Genomic DNA, 21222 nt, shown 5'->3' with positions numbered 1-21222 from the left:
TCACTAATAATTAAGGAAATGCAAATAAAAACCAGAATAAAATATCATATATTTTGGGATGACTATTATGAGCAACATGAAAGATAACAAGTGTTGACAAGGAGGTGGAGAAAGGGGAACTCTTATACATTGTTGGTGGAAATGTAAATTAGTATAGTCATTATGGAAATAACGCAGAGGATTTCCACAAAATTAAAAGTGGAACTACTGTATGATAAAGCAATTCCACTTCTGAGTATATATCCGGAGGAAGTGAAATCAGTATGTGCAAGGGATAGCAGAACTTCCATGTTCATTGCAGCATTGTTCACAATGGCCAAGATATAGGATCAACCTAAGTGTTCATCAGTGGATGAATAAATTAAGAAAATGTGGTATAGGTACAAAATGGAATACTATTCAGCCTTTAAAGAGAAGGAAGTCATTTGTGTCAACATGGATGAACTTGGAAGAAATTATGTTATGTGCAATAAGCTGGTCCCAGAAAGGCAAATACTATATGTAGAATCAAAAAAGTTAGACTCATAGAATCAGAGAGTAGAATGGTGGCTGCTAGAAGTGGGGGGATAGGGTAAACACGGACACATTGGCTAAAGGGTATAAGGTTTCAGTTTTTCAGAATAATAAAGTTCTGGAGATCTCATATATAGCATAGACAACTATTGTTAATAATACTGCATTGCATACTTGAAATTTGCTAAAAGAATAGATCTTACGTGTTCTTACCAAAAAAAAGTAACTATGTGAGGTGATGGATATATTAATCAAGCTTATAGCGGTAATTGTTTCACAATGTATATGTATATCAAAACACTATATTGTGCATCTTAAATATATACAAATTGCATTTGCCAATTATATCTCAGTGAAGCTGAAAAAAAGTCAATACCTCAAGAAAATAAAAAGTCTTACTCCTACATGGGGGACAAAGAGAGAGTTGCTTTGAATTATTTACACTCCTAGACTAAAGATATGGAGATCCTGTTGTCAAATGCTGGAGTCACATGCTGCAGCCAAATTATGGGTGAGAGATCATCCCCAGGACATGAGGTCTGCTTGGTCTTTGGGTAGACTGCCCTGTGTTTGCAAAGCGTCTGTCTTGAATCCACCTAATACCTTTGACCATGCTCCCTGCAGGGCAGCCTTTCTAGAAGACAGTTATTCCACTTCCATGTTTGTGAGTGTTGGTTCCCCCTGGAATTTCTGTCTAGGTTGACCAGAGCCTACATAACCCATTTGGGATAGATACTGTCTAGAACAGCTCTACATTATTAGCAGGGCTTCCATCCTGGTTCTGTTCTGCTCTAGAGAGGGAAGCTCATGCATTATTCTGCCTTTCACTTCAACCATAATGCCCCCAACCTAATGAAAATAACAGTCTTTTTCCTTTTTCCCTTCCTTTTGTTTAAGAGATGGGGTCTTGCTATGTTGCCTAGGCTGGAGTTGAACTCCTGGGTGCAAGCCATTCTCCTGCCTCAGCCTTCCTAGTAGCTGGGACTACAGACATGTTCCACTACACCCCATTTTCTCTCTTTCTTTTCTAAGGACTTAAAAATTATCATTTGAAATCCATTTTTAAAATGTCCAGAAACAGCCCTGGAAGGAAGATGCCCATATATAAAGAGGGGGCTGCCTTTGGATAGGAGTCCTTCTTTCTACATCATCATACCTTATTGTACATGTTGAATATTCTATAGTAAATGAAGCCTTATTTTAAAAATCAGTTCTATTTAAAGTAAAAATATTACATAGCAGGAGAATATCCCTTTCAGATCCTTGCCCAAAATCCAGCCTCTGGTTTACAAAACAAATTTTATTGTACAATTTTGAAATAATTACACTTTCCCAACTCTCATTCTTCCAGAAATGTTTTTGTTTTCCATGATTGTTTACACAGTTCTAGGAAAGACAAAGATCTCATCTCTGAATTTTACCAGAATCCATCCAAATCAGAACACGCAATGTCCTGAATGTGCTGACAATCTCTTCACTGTCTTTCCCTTTTCATGGCAAGATAAATCCCATTCATTTAGGAAGGAAAAAAGCTCAAAAGGAGTAGAAGAGCTTTGCTTTCTCAAAGACAGCCATCTGCATTGTACCAACATTCCCAAATCGAGAGTCTATTCCTTCCTTCTTTCTTTTTTTTCCACCCAAATATCTAATGTATCCCAATAATTTCTTTAGATGCTTTGGGTTTTAATTGCCTTAGCACTTATAGATTCAAGCTAATGTCATATCCTTATACATCCAACCTAGTGTTTTATATATATGTATATATAACACATATACAATATATACATAATATATACATACATAATATATACATATATACATATATTATATAGTATATATCATATATTATATATACATACATAACATATATGTATATATCATATATTATATATACACATATATGTTATATATACATATATAACGTGTGTTCTATATACATATATAACATGTGTGTTCTATATACATATATAACGTGTGTGTTCTATATACATATATAACGTGTGTGTTATATATACATATATAACGTGTGTTATATATACATATATAACGTGTGTTATATATACATATATAACGTGTGTGTTATATATACATATATAACGTGTGTGTTATATATACATATATAACGTGTGTGTTATATATACATATATAACGTGTGTGTTATATATACATATATAACGTGTGTGTTATATATACATATATAACGTGTGTGTTATATATACATATATAACGTGTGTGTTATATATACATATATAACGTGTGTTGTATATACATATATAACGTGTGTTGTATATACATATATAACGTGTGTTGTATATACATATATGTATTATATAACACATATGTATATATGTATTATATAACACATATGTATATATGTATTATATAACGTATATGTATATATTATATAACGTATGTGTATATATGTATTATATAACGTATATGTATATATGTATTATATAACGTATATGTATATATGTATTATACAACGTATATGTATTATATAACATATATGTGTGTGTATACATATATGTATTATATAACATATATGTATAGATACATACATAATATATGTTATATATACACATATATAACATATATTATATATAAAACATACATATTGATGTTTTATATAGCCTGTGTATATACTATTAAATATGTGTATATATGTATACGCAAATGTACAAATGTATGTGTGTATATATGTAGTGTTTGTATAATAGGTTGTGTGTATGTATAGCACATATAAAATATGTATTATTGTAAATATTATATATATATATATATATGTTCATTTCTCTCTGCAAGGAGTAAAAATGTAGTGGAAAGGCTCACATTTGAGTTCTCCTTTCCGTCTTACAAGTTGTATGACCTCATGTCATCACTTACTCTCGTTGAGTTGCAATCTCCTCTATAAAATGAGGCTAAAACTAATCCCTTTAAATAACACTGCTGTGTACATTAATCAGTTTAAAAAAAAGACAACATAAATGCAGCTGCAATTGCTCGAAACAACACAAATATAAGGAGCATTGCACTGAACTCTGACATCCTTTTAAAATCAGAGCTCTATAGAGGCTCTCTCTATAGCTGCATTGATTCCTCTCTTTGCTCTTGATCTTTGCAGTCCTATGGTCAGGCTCAAACCTCTGTGATATTTCCACCTTTATTGAGACATGTGCCCTTTTGCAATCTCAGAGTTGTGATCGTGCCTACATTTTCTCAGATGTTTTAGTAGTCTGGTCCGCCAAGGTGATGGTATACAATCTCTCTATCCAGCCCTTCATCCAAGACTACAAACAGGTTGGATTTTGTTCAAGCTTTCAATCAGTTCTACACCACTTCAAATACACCATCCAATTGTGTTTGCTCGGCTAGGACCAGGCTCATAGGATTCATTTCAATCTTCCTTAGGTGCTTCATTTCACTTTTCGGATATGGCGTTGTTAGTAAGTTAAGTCAAGATCTCCACAACATTCTCTTAGAGTCCCACTGCAAGGTGGTAGTACCACCTCCCTAATACTCTGCTTCTCAAGTGCCAGTGGATATTAGGAAACAGGTGTGTGGGTAGGGGGTTGATTGTCACAATGTCTGGGGGACATTACTGGGATCAAGCTGGGGGAGGTAGCTGTTAAATGTTTTGGATTTCTGCTCAATGAAGAGTTGTCCTATCCAAATGCCAACTGCAATATTTATAAGCAATTAAGAAACTACAAGTTGTTGCTGGTTTCCACGGTAGTCTGCCACTATATTACCCTCTCATAGCTTTCTAAACCAAAGGTCATTACTGTCAGGCCTCTGAGCCCAAGCTGAGCCATGATATTCCCTGTGACCTGCACGTACACATCCAGATGGCCAGTTCCTGCCTTAACTGATGACATTCCACCACAAAAGAAGTGAAAATGGCCTGTTCCTGCCTTAACTGATGACAATGTCTTGTGAAATTCCTTCTCCTGGCTCATCCTGGCTCAAAAGCTCCCCCACTGAGTACCTTGTGACCCCCACTCCTGCCCGCCAGAGAACAACCCCCTTTTTCCTTCACCTATCCAAATCCTATAAAACGGCCCCACCCCCATCTCCCTTCGCTGACTCTCTTTTCGGACTCAGCCCGCCTGCACCCAGGTGAAATAAACAGCCATGTTGCTCACACAAAGCCTGTTTGGTGGTCTCTTCACTCAGACACGCAGGAAATTTGGTGCCGTGACTTGGATTGGGGGACCTCCCTTGAGAGATCAACCCCTGTCCTCCTGTCCTTTGCTCCGTGAGAAAGATCCACCTACGACCTCAGGTCCTCAGACCTACCAGCCCAAGGAACATCTCACCAATTTTAAATCGGGTGAGCGGCCTCTTCTTACTCTCTTCTCCAACCTCTCTCACTGTCCCTCAACCACTTTCTCCTTTCCACTCTTCAATCTCTCCCTTCTCTTAATTTCAATTCCTTTCATTTTCTGGTAGAGACAAAGGAGACACGTTTTATCCGTGGACCCAGAACTCTGGCACCGGTCAAGGACTAGGGAAGGCAGCCTTCCCCTGGTGTTGAATCATTGCAGGGATGCCTCTCTGATTATTTACCCATGTTTCAGAGGTGTCAGACCATGCAGGGACACCTGCCTTTGTCCTTCATCCTTAGCGGCAAGTTCCGCTTTTCTGTGGGAGGGGCAAGTACCCCAACCCCTTCTCTCCGTGTCTCTACACCTTCTCTGCCTTTCTGGGGGGCAAGAAACCCCCAACCCCTTCTTCTTCACCCTTAGCAGCAAGTCCCGCTTTTCTAGGGGAGGGATAATTACCCCAACCCCTTATATCTCTGTGCCCTGATCCCTTATTTCCGTGCCCCAAGCTCTTATATCTCTGCACCCCAATCCCTTATTTCCATGCCCCAACCTCTTATATCTCTGCACCCTGATCCCTTATTTCCTCGCCCAACCTCTTATATCTCTGTGCCCCAATCCCTTATTTCCGTGCCCTGACCTCGTATCTCTGTGCCCCATCCCCTTTCCCACTTTTCTGGAGGGTAAGAACCCCCGAACCCCTTCCCTCCGTGTCTCTACTCTCTCTTTTCTCTGGGCTTGCCTCCTTCACTATGGGCAACCTTCCACCCTCCATTCCTCCTTCTTCTCCCTTAGCCTGTGTTCTTAAGAACTTAAAACCTCTTCAACTCTCACCTGACCTAAAATCTAAGCATCTTATTTTCTTCTGCAATGCCACTTGACCCCAATACAAACTCGACAGTAGTTCCAAATAGCCAGAAAACGGCACTTTCGATTTTTCCATCTTACAAGATCTAAATAATTCTTGTTGTAAAATGGGCAAATGATCTGAGATGCCTGACGTCCAGGCATTCTTTTACACATCGGTCCCTCTCTAGTCTCTGTTCCCAATGCAACTCATCCCAAATCTTCCTTCTTTCCCTCCTGTCTGTCCCCTCAGTCCCAACCCCAAGCGTCTCTGAGTCTTTCTAATGTTCCTTTTCTACAGACCCATCTGACCTCTCCCCTCCTCCCCAGGCTGCTCCTCGCCAGGCCGAGCTAGGTCCCAATTCTTCCTCAGCCTCCACTCCTCCACCCTATAATCCTTTTATCACACCTCCCCTCCTCACACCTGGTCCGGCTTACAGTTTTGTTCCATGACTAGCCCTCCCCCACCTGCCCAGCAATTTACTCTTAAAAAGGTGGCTGGAGCTAAAGGCATAGTCAAGGTTAATGCTCCTTTTTCTTTATCCCAAATCAGACAGCATTTAGGCTCTTTTTCATCAAATATAAAAATCCAGCCCAGCTCATGACTCGTTTGGCAGCAACCCTGAGATGCTTTACAGCCCTAGACCCTAAAAGGTCAAAAGGCCGTCTTATTCTCAAAATGCATTTTATTACCCAATCTGCTCCCGACACTAAATAAAACTCCAAAAATTAAATTCCGGCCCTCAAACCCCACAACAGGATTTAATTAACCTCGCCTTCAAGGTGTACAATAGTAGAAAAAAGTTGCAATTCCTTGCCTCCACTGTGAGACAAACCCCAGCCACATCTCCAGCACACAAGAACTTCCAAATGCCTGAACCGCAGCGGCCAGACATTTCTCCAGAACCTCCTTCCCCAGGAGCTTGCTACAAGTGCCAGAAATCTGGCCACAAGGCCAAGGAATGCCTGCAGCCCAGGATTCCTCCTAAGCCGCGTCCCATCTGTGCGGGACTCCACTGGAAATCGGACTGTCCAACTCACCTGGCAGCCACTCCCAGAGCCCCTGGAACTCTGGCCGAAGGCTCTCTGACTCCTTCCCAGATCTTCTTGGCTTAGTGGCTGAAGACTGATGCTGCCCAATCGCCTCGAAAGCCCCCTAGACCATCACGGACGCTGAGCTTCAGGTAACTCACACAGTGGAGGGTAAGTCCGTCCCCTTCTTAATCAATACGGAGGCTACTCACTCCGCATTACCTTATTTTCAAGGGCCTGTTTCCCTTGCTTCCATAACTGTGGTGCGTATTGACAGCCAGGCTTCTAAACCTCTTAAAACTCCCCAAATCTGGTGCCAATTAGACAATACTCTTTTAAGCATTCCTTTTAGTTATCCCCACCTGCCCAGTTCCCTTATTAGGCTGAGACACTTTAACTACATTATCTGCTTCCCTGACTATTCCTGGATTACAGTTACATCTCATGGCTGCCCTTCTTCCCAATCCAAAGCCTCCTTTGCGTCCTCCTCTTGTATTCCCCCACCTTAACCCACAAGTATAAGATACCTCTACTCCCTCCTTGGCAACCGATCATGCACCCCTTACCATCTCATTAAAACCTAATCACCCTTACCCCGATTGATGCCAATATCCCATCCCACAGCATGCTTTGAAAGGATTAAAGCCTGTTATCACTCGCCTGCTACAGCATGGCCTTTTAAAGCCTATAAACTCTCCTTACAATTCCCCCATTTTACCTGTCCTAAAACCAGACAAGCCTTTCAAGTTAGTTCAGGATCTATGCCTTATCAACCAAATTGTTTTGCCTATCTACCCCATGGTGCCAAACCCATACACTCTCCTATCCTCAATACCTCCCTCCACAATCCATTATTCTGTTCTGGATCTCAAACATGCTTTCTTCACTACTCCTTTGCACCTGTCATCCCAGCCTCTCTTCGCTTTCACTTAGACTGACCCTGACACCCATCAGGCTCAGCAAATTACCTGGGCTGTACTGCCGCAAGGCTTCACAGACAGCCCCCATTACTTCAGTCAAGCCCAAATTTCATCCTCATCTGTTACCTATCTCGGCATAATTCTCATAAAAACACATGTGCTTTCCCTGCTGATTGTGTCCGATTAATCTCCCAAACCTCAATCCCTTACAAAACAACAACTCCTTTCCTTCCTAGGCATGGTTAGTGCGGTCAGAATTCTTATACAAGAGCCAGGACCACACCCTGTAGCCTTTCTGTGCAAACAACTTGACCTGTTTTAGCCTAGCCATCATGTCTCCGTGCAGTGGCTGCTGCCGCCCTAATACTTTTAGAGGCCCTCAAAGTCACAAACTATGCTCAACTTACTCTCTACATGTCTCATAACTTCCAAAATCTATTTTCTTCCTCATACCTGACACATATACTTTCTGCTCCCCAGCTCCTTCAGCTGTACTCACTCTTTGTTAAGTTCCACAATTACCATTGTTCCTGGCCCGGACTTCAATCCGGCCTCCCACATTATTCCTGATACCACAACTGACACCCATGACTGTATCTCTCTGATCCACCTGACATTCACCCCATTTCCCCGTATTTCCTTCTTTCCTGTTCCTCATCCTGATCATGCTTGATTTATTGATGGCGGTTCCATCAGGCCTAATTGCCACACACCAGCAAAGGCAGGCTATGCTATAGCACAAGCCACTAGCCCGCCTCTTAGAACCTTTCATTTCCTTTCCATGGTGGAAATCTATCCTCAAGGAAATAACTTCTCAGTGTTCCATCTGCTATTCTACTACTCCTCAGGGATTATTCAGGCCCCCTCCCTTCCCTACACATGAAGCTCGAGGATTTGCCCCCACCCAGGACTGGCAAATTAGCTTTACTCAATATGCCCCGAGTCAGATAACTAAAATACCTCGTAGTCTAGGTAGACACTTTCACTGGATAGGTAGAGGCCTTTCCTACAGGGTCTGAGAAGGCCACCGCAGTCATTTCTTCCCTTCTGTCAGACATAATTCCTCAGTTTAGCCTTCCCAACTCTATACAGTCTGATAACAGACCAGCCTTTATTAGTCAAATCAGCCAAGCAGTTTTTCAGGCTCTTAGTATTCAGTGAAACCTTTATATCCCTTATGGTCCTCCATCTTCAGGAAAAGTAGAATGGACTAAAGGTCTTTTAAAAACACACCTCACCAAGCTCAGCCACCAATTCAAAAAGGACTGGACAATACTTTTATCACTTTCCCTTCTCAGAAGTCAGACCTGTCCTCAGAATGATACAAGGTACAGCCCATTTGAGCTCCTGTATAGACACTCTTTTTATTAGGCCCCAGTCTCATTCCAGACACCAGACCAACTTAGACTCTGCCCCCAAAAAACTTGTCATCCCTACTATCTTCTGTCTAGTCATACTCCTATTCACCGTTCTCAACTACTCATACATGCCCTGCTCTTGTTTACACTGCCGGTTTACACTGTTTCTCCAAGCCATCACAGCTGATATCTCCTGGTGCTATCCCCAAACTGCCACTCTTAACTCTTGAAGTAAATAAATAATCTTTGCTGGCAGGACTATGCTGAATCTCCTTAGGCACTCTCTAATCAGATGTCCTGAGTCGTCCCAATTCTTAGACCTTTAATACCTGTTTTTCTCCTTCTCTTATTCTATTTAGTTTTTCAATTCATACAAAACCATATCCATGCCATCACCAATAATTCTAAATGACAAATGTTTCTTCTAACAATCCACAATATCACCCCTTACCACAAAATCTTCCTTCATCTTAATCTCTCCCACTCTAGGTTCCCACGCCACCCCTAATCCCGCTCGAAGCAGCCCTGAGAAACATCGCCCATTATCTCTCCATACCATCTCCCAAAATTTTCGCTGTCCCAACACTTTACCACTATTTTGTTTTATTTTTCTTATTAATATAAGAAGACAGGAATGTCAGGCCTCTGAGCCCAAGCTAAGCCATCATATTCCCTGTGACCTGCACGTACACATCCAGATCCCCGGTTCCTGCGTTAACTGATGACATTCCACCACAAAAGAAGTGAAAATGGCCTGTTCCTGCCTTAACTGAGACATTGTCTTGTGAAATTCCTTCTCCTGGCTCATCCTGGCTCACAAGCTCCCCCACTGAGTACCTTGTGACCCCCACTCCTGCCCGCCAGAGAACAACCCCCTTTTTCCTTTACCTACCCAAATCTTATAAAACGGCCCCACCCCTATCTCCCTTCGCTGACTCTCTTTTCGGACTCAGCCCGCCTGCACCCAGGTGAAATAAACAGCCATGTTGCTCACACAAAGCCTGTTTGGTGGTCTCTTCACACAGACACGCATGAAAATTACTACTTCAGAATGCATCACCCTTTCCCTTCAACTCAGCACATGTCTCTTACATGTTCGTTACTTGATTGTTTTCCCCATCCTCATATACTCTCCTGGATGCCTCTACCCTCAGGTTCATGGTTTTCTCATGAGTATATTTATTATTGACACATACTCCTAAATCACCTCTCCCAGCAGATTAATTTACCTTCAAGCAATATTTAATTCCCAAAGAGTTTCTACTGGAAAAGGTATACAGTGTCAGAAATTGCTTTTGGAATCAAAAAAAAAAAAAAAGGCTTCAATGTAAATTCTGGCCCTGCCATTTAATAATTGCATTGTTACAAATAAATTATTTAAATGCTCTGATATTCAGTTCCCTGCCTTCAAAATGGAAATACTAATAGCCTCTGTGAGAATTATATGAGATAAATAATGAAAGAAACCTAGTATAATCCTGTCCCTGGAATATGGTGGTTTATCATTAAATGTTTAGTTTCTCTTCTTTGCCTTTCTTCCCTGTCTGAAGTTTCTGTAATTTCCTTAAAATTACCCAACATTCTACATAGTGGCTGATCATGACCCCATTTCTTGAAAAAAGTTTCCTGGGACCGGTTTTGGATTAAAGAAGAGCTACACTATGGATTTAGAAAAACGATTCACTTTTGTGCAGTGCCGCTCCTATCAGTACTCCTGACATGTCCTATTGGTCCCTTGGTTCTGGCCAGAATGTGACATTTAAGAATTAGGTCTATGCCTTGACATGAAAACTTTGGATACTTTACTAGTTCATAATCTGTCCCCGATTGCAGTTGTGTTTGCCATATACTCCTCCTTCTCTCCCCCAGCCCAGGAGCCATGAGATACTGTAGTCAGTGAGAGGGCCAAAATAACCATAACAAAAGAGCATTGACCTGGTTGCATATTCATATTGCAATTCACTCTTTGTACTTCCAATATGCCCTACGATTTGAACACATAAGACACTGCAAACTGAAAGAAAAACTCACCCTATTTGAGAAAAGAAAGGAATTTATACCACATTTGGCTTAGTTTTTATAAAAGGGTGTGTGTGTGTCTGTGTGTGTGTGTGTGTGTGTGTGTGTGTGTGTAGGCATATATGGATGCATGTATATACAGACATATATAGACACATATGTATACATGTAGCTACATATATAGAGACGGAGACAGAAAGAGATGGCATGTTAAAGTACATTGATTTTATACATCAATACAAAACACATATCGAGTATCTTTAAATCTGAACTGCAGTAAAATCCAGGAAGCATCCAGCTTACTTAGTCTAAAAGCATTTCAGCCGTGGTCTTTTTCATTTTGTTGACCCAGATACACATACCTTTCAATATCTTGGTTAATTTCATCTTGACTGAGATTTTCAAAAATGCATTTATTTTCACAGACATAATGTGTTCCTCATAAAATTCATCAACTCTATTTTAGGAAGCACTGCAATTACTGAGAACAGGGAGAGACTGAAAGAAGCCCTAAGTCCTTCTAGCCATATCCATGACTCACTTTTTTGAAAATTCCATCCTATTCTTACTGCTGGGCAATACATAGTTGAATTTTCATAAATATATGGGATTTTTTCAGGAGTCAACTCTGATTCATCGGTCAACTTGTTTATCCCTGTGTGGATGGCTCCATGTTTCCTTGTTATGTCTTTAGACCTGGCGAATCAAGAGTCCATCAACTGTCTGCCTTGAATGTGTGAAAATCACTGTTCCTTTGTTCTCTCATATAAATTTTGTCAGTATACATGTGCACTCACACACACGCATGCACACACAAACACATAAGATAATCATATTATATTTTGACTGAAATTGCATTGGAGTTATAAGTCGGTTTGAGAGGAATTCATTTCTTTTAATTTTGAATTCCCCAATCCATGAACATGGTATTTGTCATTATTTATTTATGTACTCTTGGAAATCTTTTAATTTTTTATGACATTTTTCACAACATCCTTCACATAATCTTTATATGTCTTTTGATTTATTTAGCTCTTTTGAAGCTACTGTTATTGAAAACTTTATGTTCAATTATATTTTCTGACTGTGTATTCAGAAACACAACTGACTTTATATATTGATTTTATATTCTACAATCTCGCTCAACTGCTGAACTATTTTTTTTTTTCATTTTTAAGGGATTTAGTATGTGATAATTATATTGTCTGAAAATGAGAATATATTTTTTCTTCCAGTCTTTAAATATTTTATTTATTTTTTCATTTTTATTCATTGTGCATTATTTTAACACAGAAACAATAAACTCTTCCTTTAAAATAGATACCTAAATGATAAATAACAATCTGTAGAATTTACTTGCAATTAGGCAATAAGCAAAATACAAGTCAGAGACCTAAAACAACTATCAAAAAAATTTTTGTAAGACTGAATAAAATATTTTGTAGAACATTTAGAAGGGATGTCATTGCTTACAAACAACAATTCTGACTTCAAATTTCTCCTTTCTATGTCTTCTTACTTCTAGTGACATCATACACACTTTGGAGAGAAACAGGTACATTTCTTTCAAGCCACCAATCTGTAGGTATCCAAATACCTTACTTCTAATGTTACTTCATTAAATAACTTATTTTTCCATTCCCTTAACAACCTTTTTACTTCTATTAAACCTTAACATCTGATTATCCAACCAAAGTAAAGCATTAAGAAGTGCTCTCAAAAAAAAAATGGCTTATTAACTTCTCGATTTACTGTGACTTTGCCCAGAGCAGATTACTGATAACAGGGAGAAATGGGTATATGGAAAAAAAAGGCAGGCAATAGAACCAGAACTGTGGGACAACCCGAGAACAGATAAGTAATAACAACACTACATCTCCTCTTAGTTTAACTGGTGCAACCAAGAGAAAAAGACCTTCCAAGTGCAGCTTCAATATTTTACTGTTTTCCGGGGGGGAAAAAGAATCTTAGGGTTATTTTTCCCATAGCACCTTTACATTTACATCTACAGAAAGGCTTGGGGGCAAAGCTATGATCTCCTTAGGTTGAAAAGAGGCACTTCTGAAAGGGGACTGCAGGAAGGCATGCAAGGTCTTTTGTGATTGATAACCTGGTTTCCTAACATGCAGCTTTTGTAGAGGAGCAGCGTGAATCCACATCTCAAACACACTTTTGTGTAACTGGTTCAGACCAATCAGAACTGAAGGATGACTTTTTAAAAATTCCACTTTCTATCTGCTAAAGAAGAGAATAAAAAGGGTCATCGTGCTGCGAGGAATTCTTTCCATGGACATTTATCTGCAGCTCCCGTTTAATGTGTGAGTGCACCAGTCAAGATGGCTGAAGGTAGGATTTATCCCGGATAACCTGACCTGACCATGACAGTGCACCTTGTCTAAGTGCTCAAAGCTTCACGAAACTGGGGCAAGCCTATATTAGAGAAGACACTCAATCGTACTAAAATAATACTTTTTAAAATTATTTAAATAAAATGTAATAGTATTTTAACCTTTTCACAAATTTTAGATATGGGAAGTATGGGGGAGGCGTAGACAAAATGTTCTAGAGTTCATTGTCTAATCTTCAACACTGTGCATTTCTTACATTGCCATTGTCAAAAACTCTACCCGGGTAAGTATGACTATTAATTCTCTCCTGCCTATTTAAATCCTCTCTCAGGAAAGATATAATGGGTTTTTATGTACTAACATGTGAAGGGTATATATTTATTACATAATCACCCTTAGGACTATTTACACATTATTGAGAAAGATGACCCTCGTTAAGCTAAAAAAGTGATCTCTACTGTTGTTACCAAATAGGGGCTGAAACAGCTCCAGTGTGTGGCTACTTATTTCTGGCCTTAGATAAGGGGTCAGCTTAGGTGCCCCACACTCAGCCCAGACCATCTCGCAAAAGGAAGAGGACAAGCTGACATGAGTCAAGGTTGCAAATACCTCTCAAGTGGCCTTTGCTATCCTTTATAAGCTTTGCAATGCTGAAGGTTTCTAAAGACTTGACATGAACACTCCTCCTGGGTGTGCCGGTGACAGGTGAAAGAGTAACGTGCTGGCCCTCTGGTTTATGGCAACACGACTACTATCCAATGTCTACAAAAATGACAAATCCCCAATGTCATCAGAATCTAGCCATTCAGGAAACAACTGTATTTGAAGAGAAAGTGGTAAAAAAAAATTGCATTGCGGATTTATTTATCTCCTCATTGGTTGGATGAGCTAGCTTTTAAGGATAGACGGGTCAGTTTACTCATCTTTGTATTCAGTGCTTTACTTGGCACAATACATAAGTCATACATTGGGTTTCAAGTGTGAATTGCTGAATTTTCAAACACAGCAGCTTGCCATGTAAAGCCCTCCCTGGTCTGGTCACTGCCTGGCTCTTCAACTTTACCTCTCACCACCCCTCCAGATGTATCCTGTGCTCCAGATACTCACAGTTCTCTCCAGGTACCATGGGTTTATGCATTTTCACAGGCTGCTGTTTCTGCCTGAAATATACTTTCCTGCTTCTGTGCCCTGAAAAATCCTATTCATCTTTTAAGCTTCTCCTCGTCTGTGAAGACTTCTTTCATTCTCCACAAACCCAGAAGGCCTGATTACACCCTTTGTGGTCCACACCTGTGCTCATTCAGACGTCTGTTACAGGTCTTCTCACACTGAGTTAAAATTGTTTGTTTTCACATCCATTCCTAGGTCTATTCCCCTCTCTCACCACCTCTTACAGACCCCAGAGGACAGGGACCATAACATTTTCATGTTTGTATTTCAACACAGCGTCTGACATTGATCCGTGTACTCACTGGATTTACAAGTAATCATTGACTGCTTAGTATGTTTAAAGTATTGTGCTGGGCATTAGGGCTAAAGTAGAGAGAAAAGCCTTCTCCGGACTTCACAGAGAACGGTGCATGATGTGGCCAGAGAGCAACAGGCTGAGGTCAGATGGTGGAAGGCTATGCCAGCCCACAGCAAAAGTTTGGGGATGTTTTTCAAAGGCAATGGCCAAACACTGAAGAGTTCAACAAAGACTTGACCAGATTTGCCTAATTGTTTTCTGTTTTATTTTATTTTGTTTTGACATGGGGTCTCACTCTGTCACTCAGGCTGTAGTGCAGTGGCACAATCTCGGCTCACTGCAACCTCCACCTCCCAGGTTCTAGCAATCCCCCTGCCTCAGCCTCCTGAGTAGCTGAGATTACAGGCACCTGCCATCATGCCTAACTAATTTTTATATTTTTAGTAGACAGGGTTTCACCATGTTGGTCAGGTTGATCTCTAACTCCTGACCTTCAGTGATCCACCCACCTCAGCCTCCCAAAGTGCTGGGGTTACATGCATGAGACACCACACCCAGCCACATTTGCTTAATTGGAAGAGCATTCTGATAAGCACCACATTAAGGAGAATGTTTTCTTCCAAAGAAGAATGGAGGAAAAAATTGAGAAGGGTACATGGCAAAATCAACTGTGTCTGTTTTTTTATTTTTCCCCTTCAAACTAGGGAATGGGTACACTAGTGTTTTCCACATTATCTATTGTTTATGCAGCTGAAGTGGTTCAAAAAAATTTTTTTTTAAATAGTAAGTTCATTCAGCCAGAATGTGTAGAAAATGAGTAAGGAGGGGTTCACTGTTGAAATGAGAGAATAATTCGCTGTCTATCTCAGGAACCCATGGAAGGATGGAATTGGCTGCAATTAGGAGTGGAGTGGGCAGAAGTAGACACATTAGAGAGTTTTTCAAAAGTAGAACCAACGTCCTGATGGCTTATTGGATAAAGGGCGAAAGGGCTGAGGAAGGCGTTCAATGGAAGATGATGGTACCAGTTACTACAGCAAGGAAATTGGAAGAAAAAAGCTAAATTTGGGTTTGAAGGCTTGTTTAGAGTAAAAGTTAACCCAATCTTGGCAAGCAAGCTAGCTAGCAAGCTAAGAAAGCTAACCCAATTTCTGTAACCCATACAGTGTAAGGTATTACAATAAAAAGAGTCATTTGGTGGTTTTCCATCACTGAACATCTACCTGTTGAGGCAGTTGTCTTTGCATTAAGCCGTTGCACTTTGAAGTGAAAAGTCTGGAGATCTGGGAAAAGAATCCGATTCCTCTGATCAGTATTCTCCATTGCAAAGCCTACAGATGGGAGGGACTACCTGCTAAACTAACCATGAAACTGAATTTGCATCTCTGTACCTGATAAGATGAAGATGCATGAACACACACTGGCAAACTACTCTTCCATGAAATAAAAAGATATCACTTCAAGGGTCATTTTATTTCATTTTGACTTATTTTTCCATAGTCTAAAGAAAACCTTAAGCAATGAGCTTATTTGATAAAAGCATTAATTTTCCTGTTGGCAATGTGTTTGTCTATAATATTAGTACTTCACAAGTATTGTATAAAGAGCTACAGCACATATATTCCACGGTAAAAATTTTCTTTCCAACTTTCATGTGGTCTTATCTTTCGAATAAACTAAGGTAGCCTAAGTATTAACATAATGTTAAATTAAGGCAAAGTGAGAAAATTTCTATACTTAAAAATCTATAAAGCAGAACTCTCTAAGTGTTATAAATCCACCGTGATAGAAGTGTGTTCTGAGGGTTCCCAACTTAATACAGATGAACAAATATGACAGCTTAACAAATTAAAAAGGTCACTAAATATGCCCATGGGATACTGTCTCACTGAAGCAGGGGATGATGGAGAGGAGGACATCGAGTCAGAGCTCAAGGGAGAATTCTTTATTTCAGGAAAACAGTGATCAAGTCTGTACATTCAGGAAGAGGAGAAATTTGAAATCCAAAATGAGGCTAATGTCAGAGTGAATACTAATTGGAAAGTAGAACCTTTTTTTTTTTTTTCATTTTCCTATGTGAACAATTTAAGTTCAGTAACTGAAAAACTTTGTGAGTGACTTTCAAATATAATTCAATTGCTATCTTGGTCTTTTCAGACTACCATAACTAAATATCATAGACTGGATGGCTTAAACAACAGAAATTTATTCTCTTACAATTCTGGAGGCTGGAAGTCAGAAATCAGGGAGCCAGCATGGTCAGGTTCTGGGGAGGGCTCTCTTCCTGACTTGCAGACGGACCTTCTTGCAGAGGACACAGACCTTCTTGCTGTGTCCTCACATGGTATATGCAGATGGAGAGACAATGACTCTTTGTAAGAGGGCATTAATGACTCTTCATAAGAGAGCATTAATCCCACCATGAGTCTCCCCCTCAATAAATTCGTATAACCCTAATTACCTCTCCAAAGTCTCATCTTCAAATATGGTCACATTGGGAAAGGGGTTTCAGCATATGAATTTGGGAAGAATGCAGACATTTAGTTAAAAAACTGTTAATCAAAATATTGCCAGTGTTAGAAATTACTTGAAGTATACGTTAGGATCTGTGAACTTTCTGGATGTTAGAAGAATCTCAAAATACTTGTCCTCTGGGAGAATGAACTTTCTTACAAGAAGGAGTAACCGTGAGACTCGCATCTTGGGATTTCATGCAAAGTTTACAAAATATATTTGGTCATCCTTAACTAGTTTGAAAATGAAGTAAACATGTCTTTCCTGCAATGATTACAGTGTGATTCTTTTTACACTGTTTATTGAGAAAACAAACATTTCAGTTTGACATTTTTGTTTTATCTTTTGAACTAAACTAAACCAAATGTTAGTATATGTATGTGTATAATTTACTTAGAGAACACCTATGGTCCAAGGAAAATGTATTTTTTTCTGAATCACAAGATAATTATTTTCAGAAATCCAAATTTAAAAAGTGTCCTTATCTGTAAAATGATAAAATATTGTAATATTAGTTGCTGGTGTGTGTAAAATAAATACTTCTGTTTTTAAAGTAAATAGAGTCATTGAATCATTAACAAATGGCATGAGGGATTTACCATCAAGGTTAAAATTAATAAGCTGATGTGAAAGTACTAGAAAATGATACGAGACATGTTAAGGCACTTTAGAAGGTATTCCATTGTGAGTACAATGGTTTGCAAGTCTATCACCCACACAAAACTGAACATTCCTCTAGAGCAGGGGACGTATCTGTCATCATAACCCCATCTGCCTAGTGTTCTGTGCAGCCCACCATGGTTCTCCATAAATGCTGGCTGATTTCTGTTGTATAACTAGGCAGGAGAGAAAGTAAAGACACTATTTTTGTTTGGTAGAATTATGTGGGTACCCTGGTCAGGGGGTGAGCATAGACAAGGGAGCCCAATAGGTGTCAGAGGTGACTGGAGTAGTACAAGTGTGAGGTGACATGGAACTTGGCTGTTGGCAGAGAGAATGGAAAGGGAGGGATGGCTCAAACAGAGTCTGTGTGGGGAATAAAAGAGCAAGGCCGATCAAAAACAAAACGAAACAAAGATAATTGTAACATGCAGAGATCCTGAAAAACTGGGAGAAAAATAGAAAGATTGATGAACTAGAGAGCAAGGGTTAGGAGAGGAGATGCTGATTCCCCAATCCTGAGGTCCTCCAAGGTCAGCTGCCGGGAGGAACAGTGTGGGGGCACAAGGAGGGGCTGACTGTGACAGTGACCGGCGTTCAGAGCCGAGCCAGGGGGCAGGCTGCTGAGACCAGTCTTGGTGATGCCTGAGAGTGGGAGGGAGCCAGAGAAGGCAGGAATATGCCAGGAAAGATGGCATTACAGAAATCAATGAAGGTGATTTCCAAAAAAAGGGGATTCCACAGTATAAATACTACCATTGAGGCAAATAAATAAGGAGACAATTTCTGATCAAGCCATTCCCTGTTATTACTTGTGAGAAAGATTGCGGGAGAGACAACAAATTTATGGTGAAAGGGGAGGATAAGTGTTAAGTGGTACTGTCTGTCATTCACTGCCCTCCTTGACCCAGCACTAATTAATCTATCCTGTCTTCTCTCCAGGATAGGCAAGGGCAGGCCTTCTATTCTTCATTCTTTTTCTCCAATTCCTTCCTGCATGCTCTCATCTCTGCTTCCCTTTTCTGGAGAGCACCCCTCCTTGCATAACACCACCTGCCAAAAATCTCACCTTCTCTCCAGCTTTGTCTTCTTCCTGAGCAGTCTCCATCCCTGCCAGGCAGATGTCTTGTGTTCCCTTGAACTTTCCTGTCACTTTTCATCTTTTTTTCTGGTATGTGGAATATTTTGGATGCCTACATATATATTTTTTGTGTGTTGACTTGTTTCCTTTGCTAGACATATGCCTTCTGAGAGAAAAAGCAGCAGATTCAGCTTTTATTACCTCTCCGTGAATGCTTGGGAATGAGAACTGTGCTTCACACATTTCATTTATTCCTCCGTTTAGCAAGCTGAGGGCTGACTTGATGCCAGATGTTGTTTTGGGAATTGGATTCAGGAGTAAAATGATAGGGAGGATCTTGCCCTCTGGAAGGTTACTTTCCATGTTTGGAAGTTAATTGAATAGTTAAGTCATTCGAGTTCTAAAGATTCATTGCAATGGGGATCGTTTTCTAATTATAGTAGTTAAAAAAACATTTAAACCTTCTTCACTGAGATGGCCTTATAATTATCTTCTATGTGAGAGAAGATATCTGAAAGATGGCTTTCAAATAGAAAATTAATGCTTACAATCATTAAGAATATCAAACTGATATTTATGGAGCTAAGCTTACAAACACTGGAGCAGAATGTCCTAGATGAAGAAAGACTCTGGTATAATGAGTTCTTAATGTTTTCAGTGTATCACTGGAAATATAATGTAATGTATCAGTTTAAGAGATAAGCTGCTTTATCTCTCAGGGAGTAACAAAAATATCTAATATGCTCAAGTTACCAATTTGTATGGAAACATTTAAAGCCAATGCATGGCCACAATTCCCATGGCAGACAGCAAGATGCTGCTTTATAAAAATAATGCCTTATAACAAAAGGATGACACAGTGTGTCATTGAGACAATGTGCAACTCAACAGCTACTGCTAAATGCCTCCTGGCAACAAGAGGGTGAAAACTCATCTTGATATTAAGATTAACTGGCATAAGCAAAATTTTGGGAAAATGTAATATTCTATTTCACAAAGACAAATAAATAAATATCGTAACCGCCTCCCTGAGCGCCAGGTTAGCATTTCAAATAACAATGAATGGGATTCCTCTCACTTATTTTACTAAGCAATTTATTGTCCCAGTATTAGGCAAGATCCAAAGTTCTTCTTTTTCTCCTTGGAGAAATGTTCAAGACATTTGTTGATTTCAGTTCTTATTTGATCTTTACAGCCTTTATTTTATACATAAACAAATGTCCATATAACTTTCCCTTGATTGCATCACAAAACATTTAAAGACACTTAGCAAAACCCTACATTCTTATTCACCTACAATCTTACTTTGTATCTATTACAAACTTGATATTCATTGAATATTTCTTGTAAAAAGTCAGGATAAGGCAGATACGTGGAAGGTTTTAAAGTCAAAGAGATTAGAAGATTGGGGATGAATGGTAATTTGGAAAACTATCAAGTGACATAACCTCAATTTAAAAAAGAGGATGATGAGATTTCTCCCAAATTTAATACTGATAATAACCTATATCCACCCCTTTTCAAGTACTGGCGAAGTGTTATGAGTCCTTTTCTGCCATTATATGATTTTACCTTATCCACCACGCACTGATTTTCTTAATTGCCACTAACAATTTTCTCATCTCCTCCACATAATACGTATCCACTGTCTACTGTACAGATGATATTGCGAAAAGGGTAGAGAAACAAATAAACAAAAAATGCTATTATTTCTGTTTTCTGTGCCTTGATTTTTCCCTTTAATGCTGTAATACTTCACCTTAGTACATTTCCTAAGAATTGTAGGATGCCTTAGAGTTTTTAATATAATGTAAATTTCCAAGAAGGAAAATTGGTATGTGGTAATCCCCAGGCTTATCTGAGAAGGGATCCAATCTTTTTTTAAATTGCTGACAATCTCTAAGCCTTACAGAACCCAACTCGGGAAACATTACATTAGAGAGAAAGGAGTTGAGCCAAAGGATCAAGAAACAGTCACTGCTAATGTTGCCTTGCCGTGCCGACGGATTTTTCATTCAATGCTTATTGGAAGATGAAGTTTTTCTTCTGTGAATTTTTAAGACTGTATTGAAGATTTACTTAAAATCTTTCAAAGTTGGATGATGATATCTATGTAAAGGAGTCCAAAAAGTCTAATA

General features: G+C 39.4%; 1 protein-coding gene across 3 annotated transcripts in view, besides 2 other annotated features; it reads right to left on the bottom strand.

Moving 5' to 3' along the window:
• PLXDC2 (plexin domain containing 2) overlaps positions 1-21222 on the bottom strand; it is a 473425-nt gene that overhangs the window by 160624 nt on the left and 291579 nt on the right. The window lies entirely within an intron of this gene.
• Positions 4187-4698: an enhancer, noted in NCBI's record as "NANOG hESC enhancer chr10:20413464-20413975 (GRCh37/hg19 assembly coordinates)". NCBI's record gives its function as "activates a minimal SCP1, AML or CMV promoter by ChIP-STARR-seq in primed H9 embryonic stem cells {active_cell/tissue: H9 hESC(primed)}" and the evidence as "EXISTENCE:reporter gene assay evidence [ECO:0000049][PMID:30033119]".
• Positions 9476-10013: an enhancer, noted in NCBI's record as "NANOG hESC enhancer chr10:20408149-20408686 (GRCh37/hg19 assembly coordinates)". NCBI's record gives its function as "activates a minimal SCP1, AML or CMV promoter by ChIP-STARR-seq in primed H9 embryonic stem cells {active_cell/tissue: H9 hESC(primed)}" and the evidence as "EXISTENCE:reporter gene assay evidence [ECO:0000049][PMID:30033119]".

Source organism: Homo sapiens, chromosome 10, assembly GCF_000001405.40.
Source record: "Homo sapiens chromosome 10, GRCh38.p14 Primary Assembly".
In the NCBI taxonomy this organism is placed as follows: Eukaryota; Metazoa; Chordata; class Mammalia; order Primates; family Hominidae; genus Homo; species Homo sapiens.
Note: the sequence above shows the minus strand (reverse complement) of the source record. Positions and strands in the feature narration are given on the sequence as shown.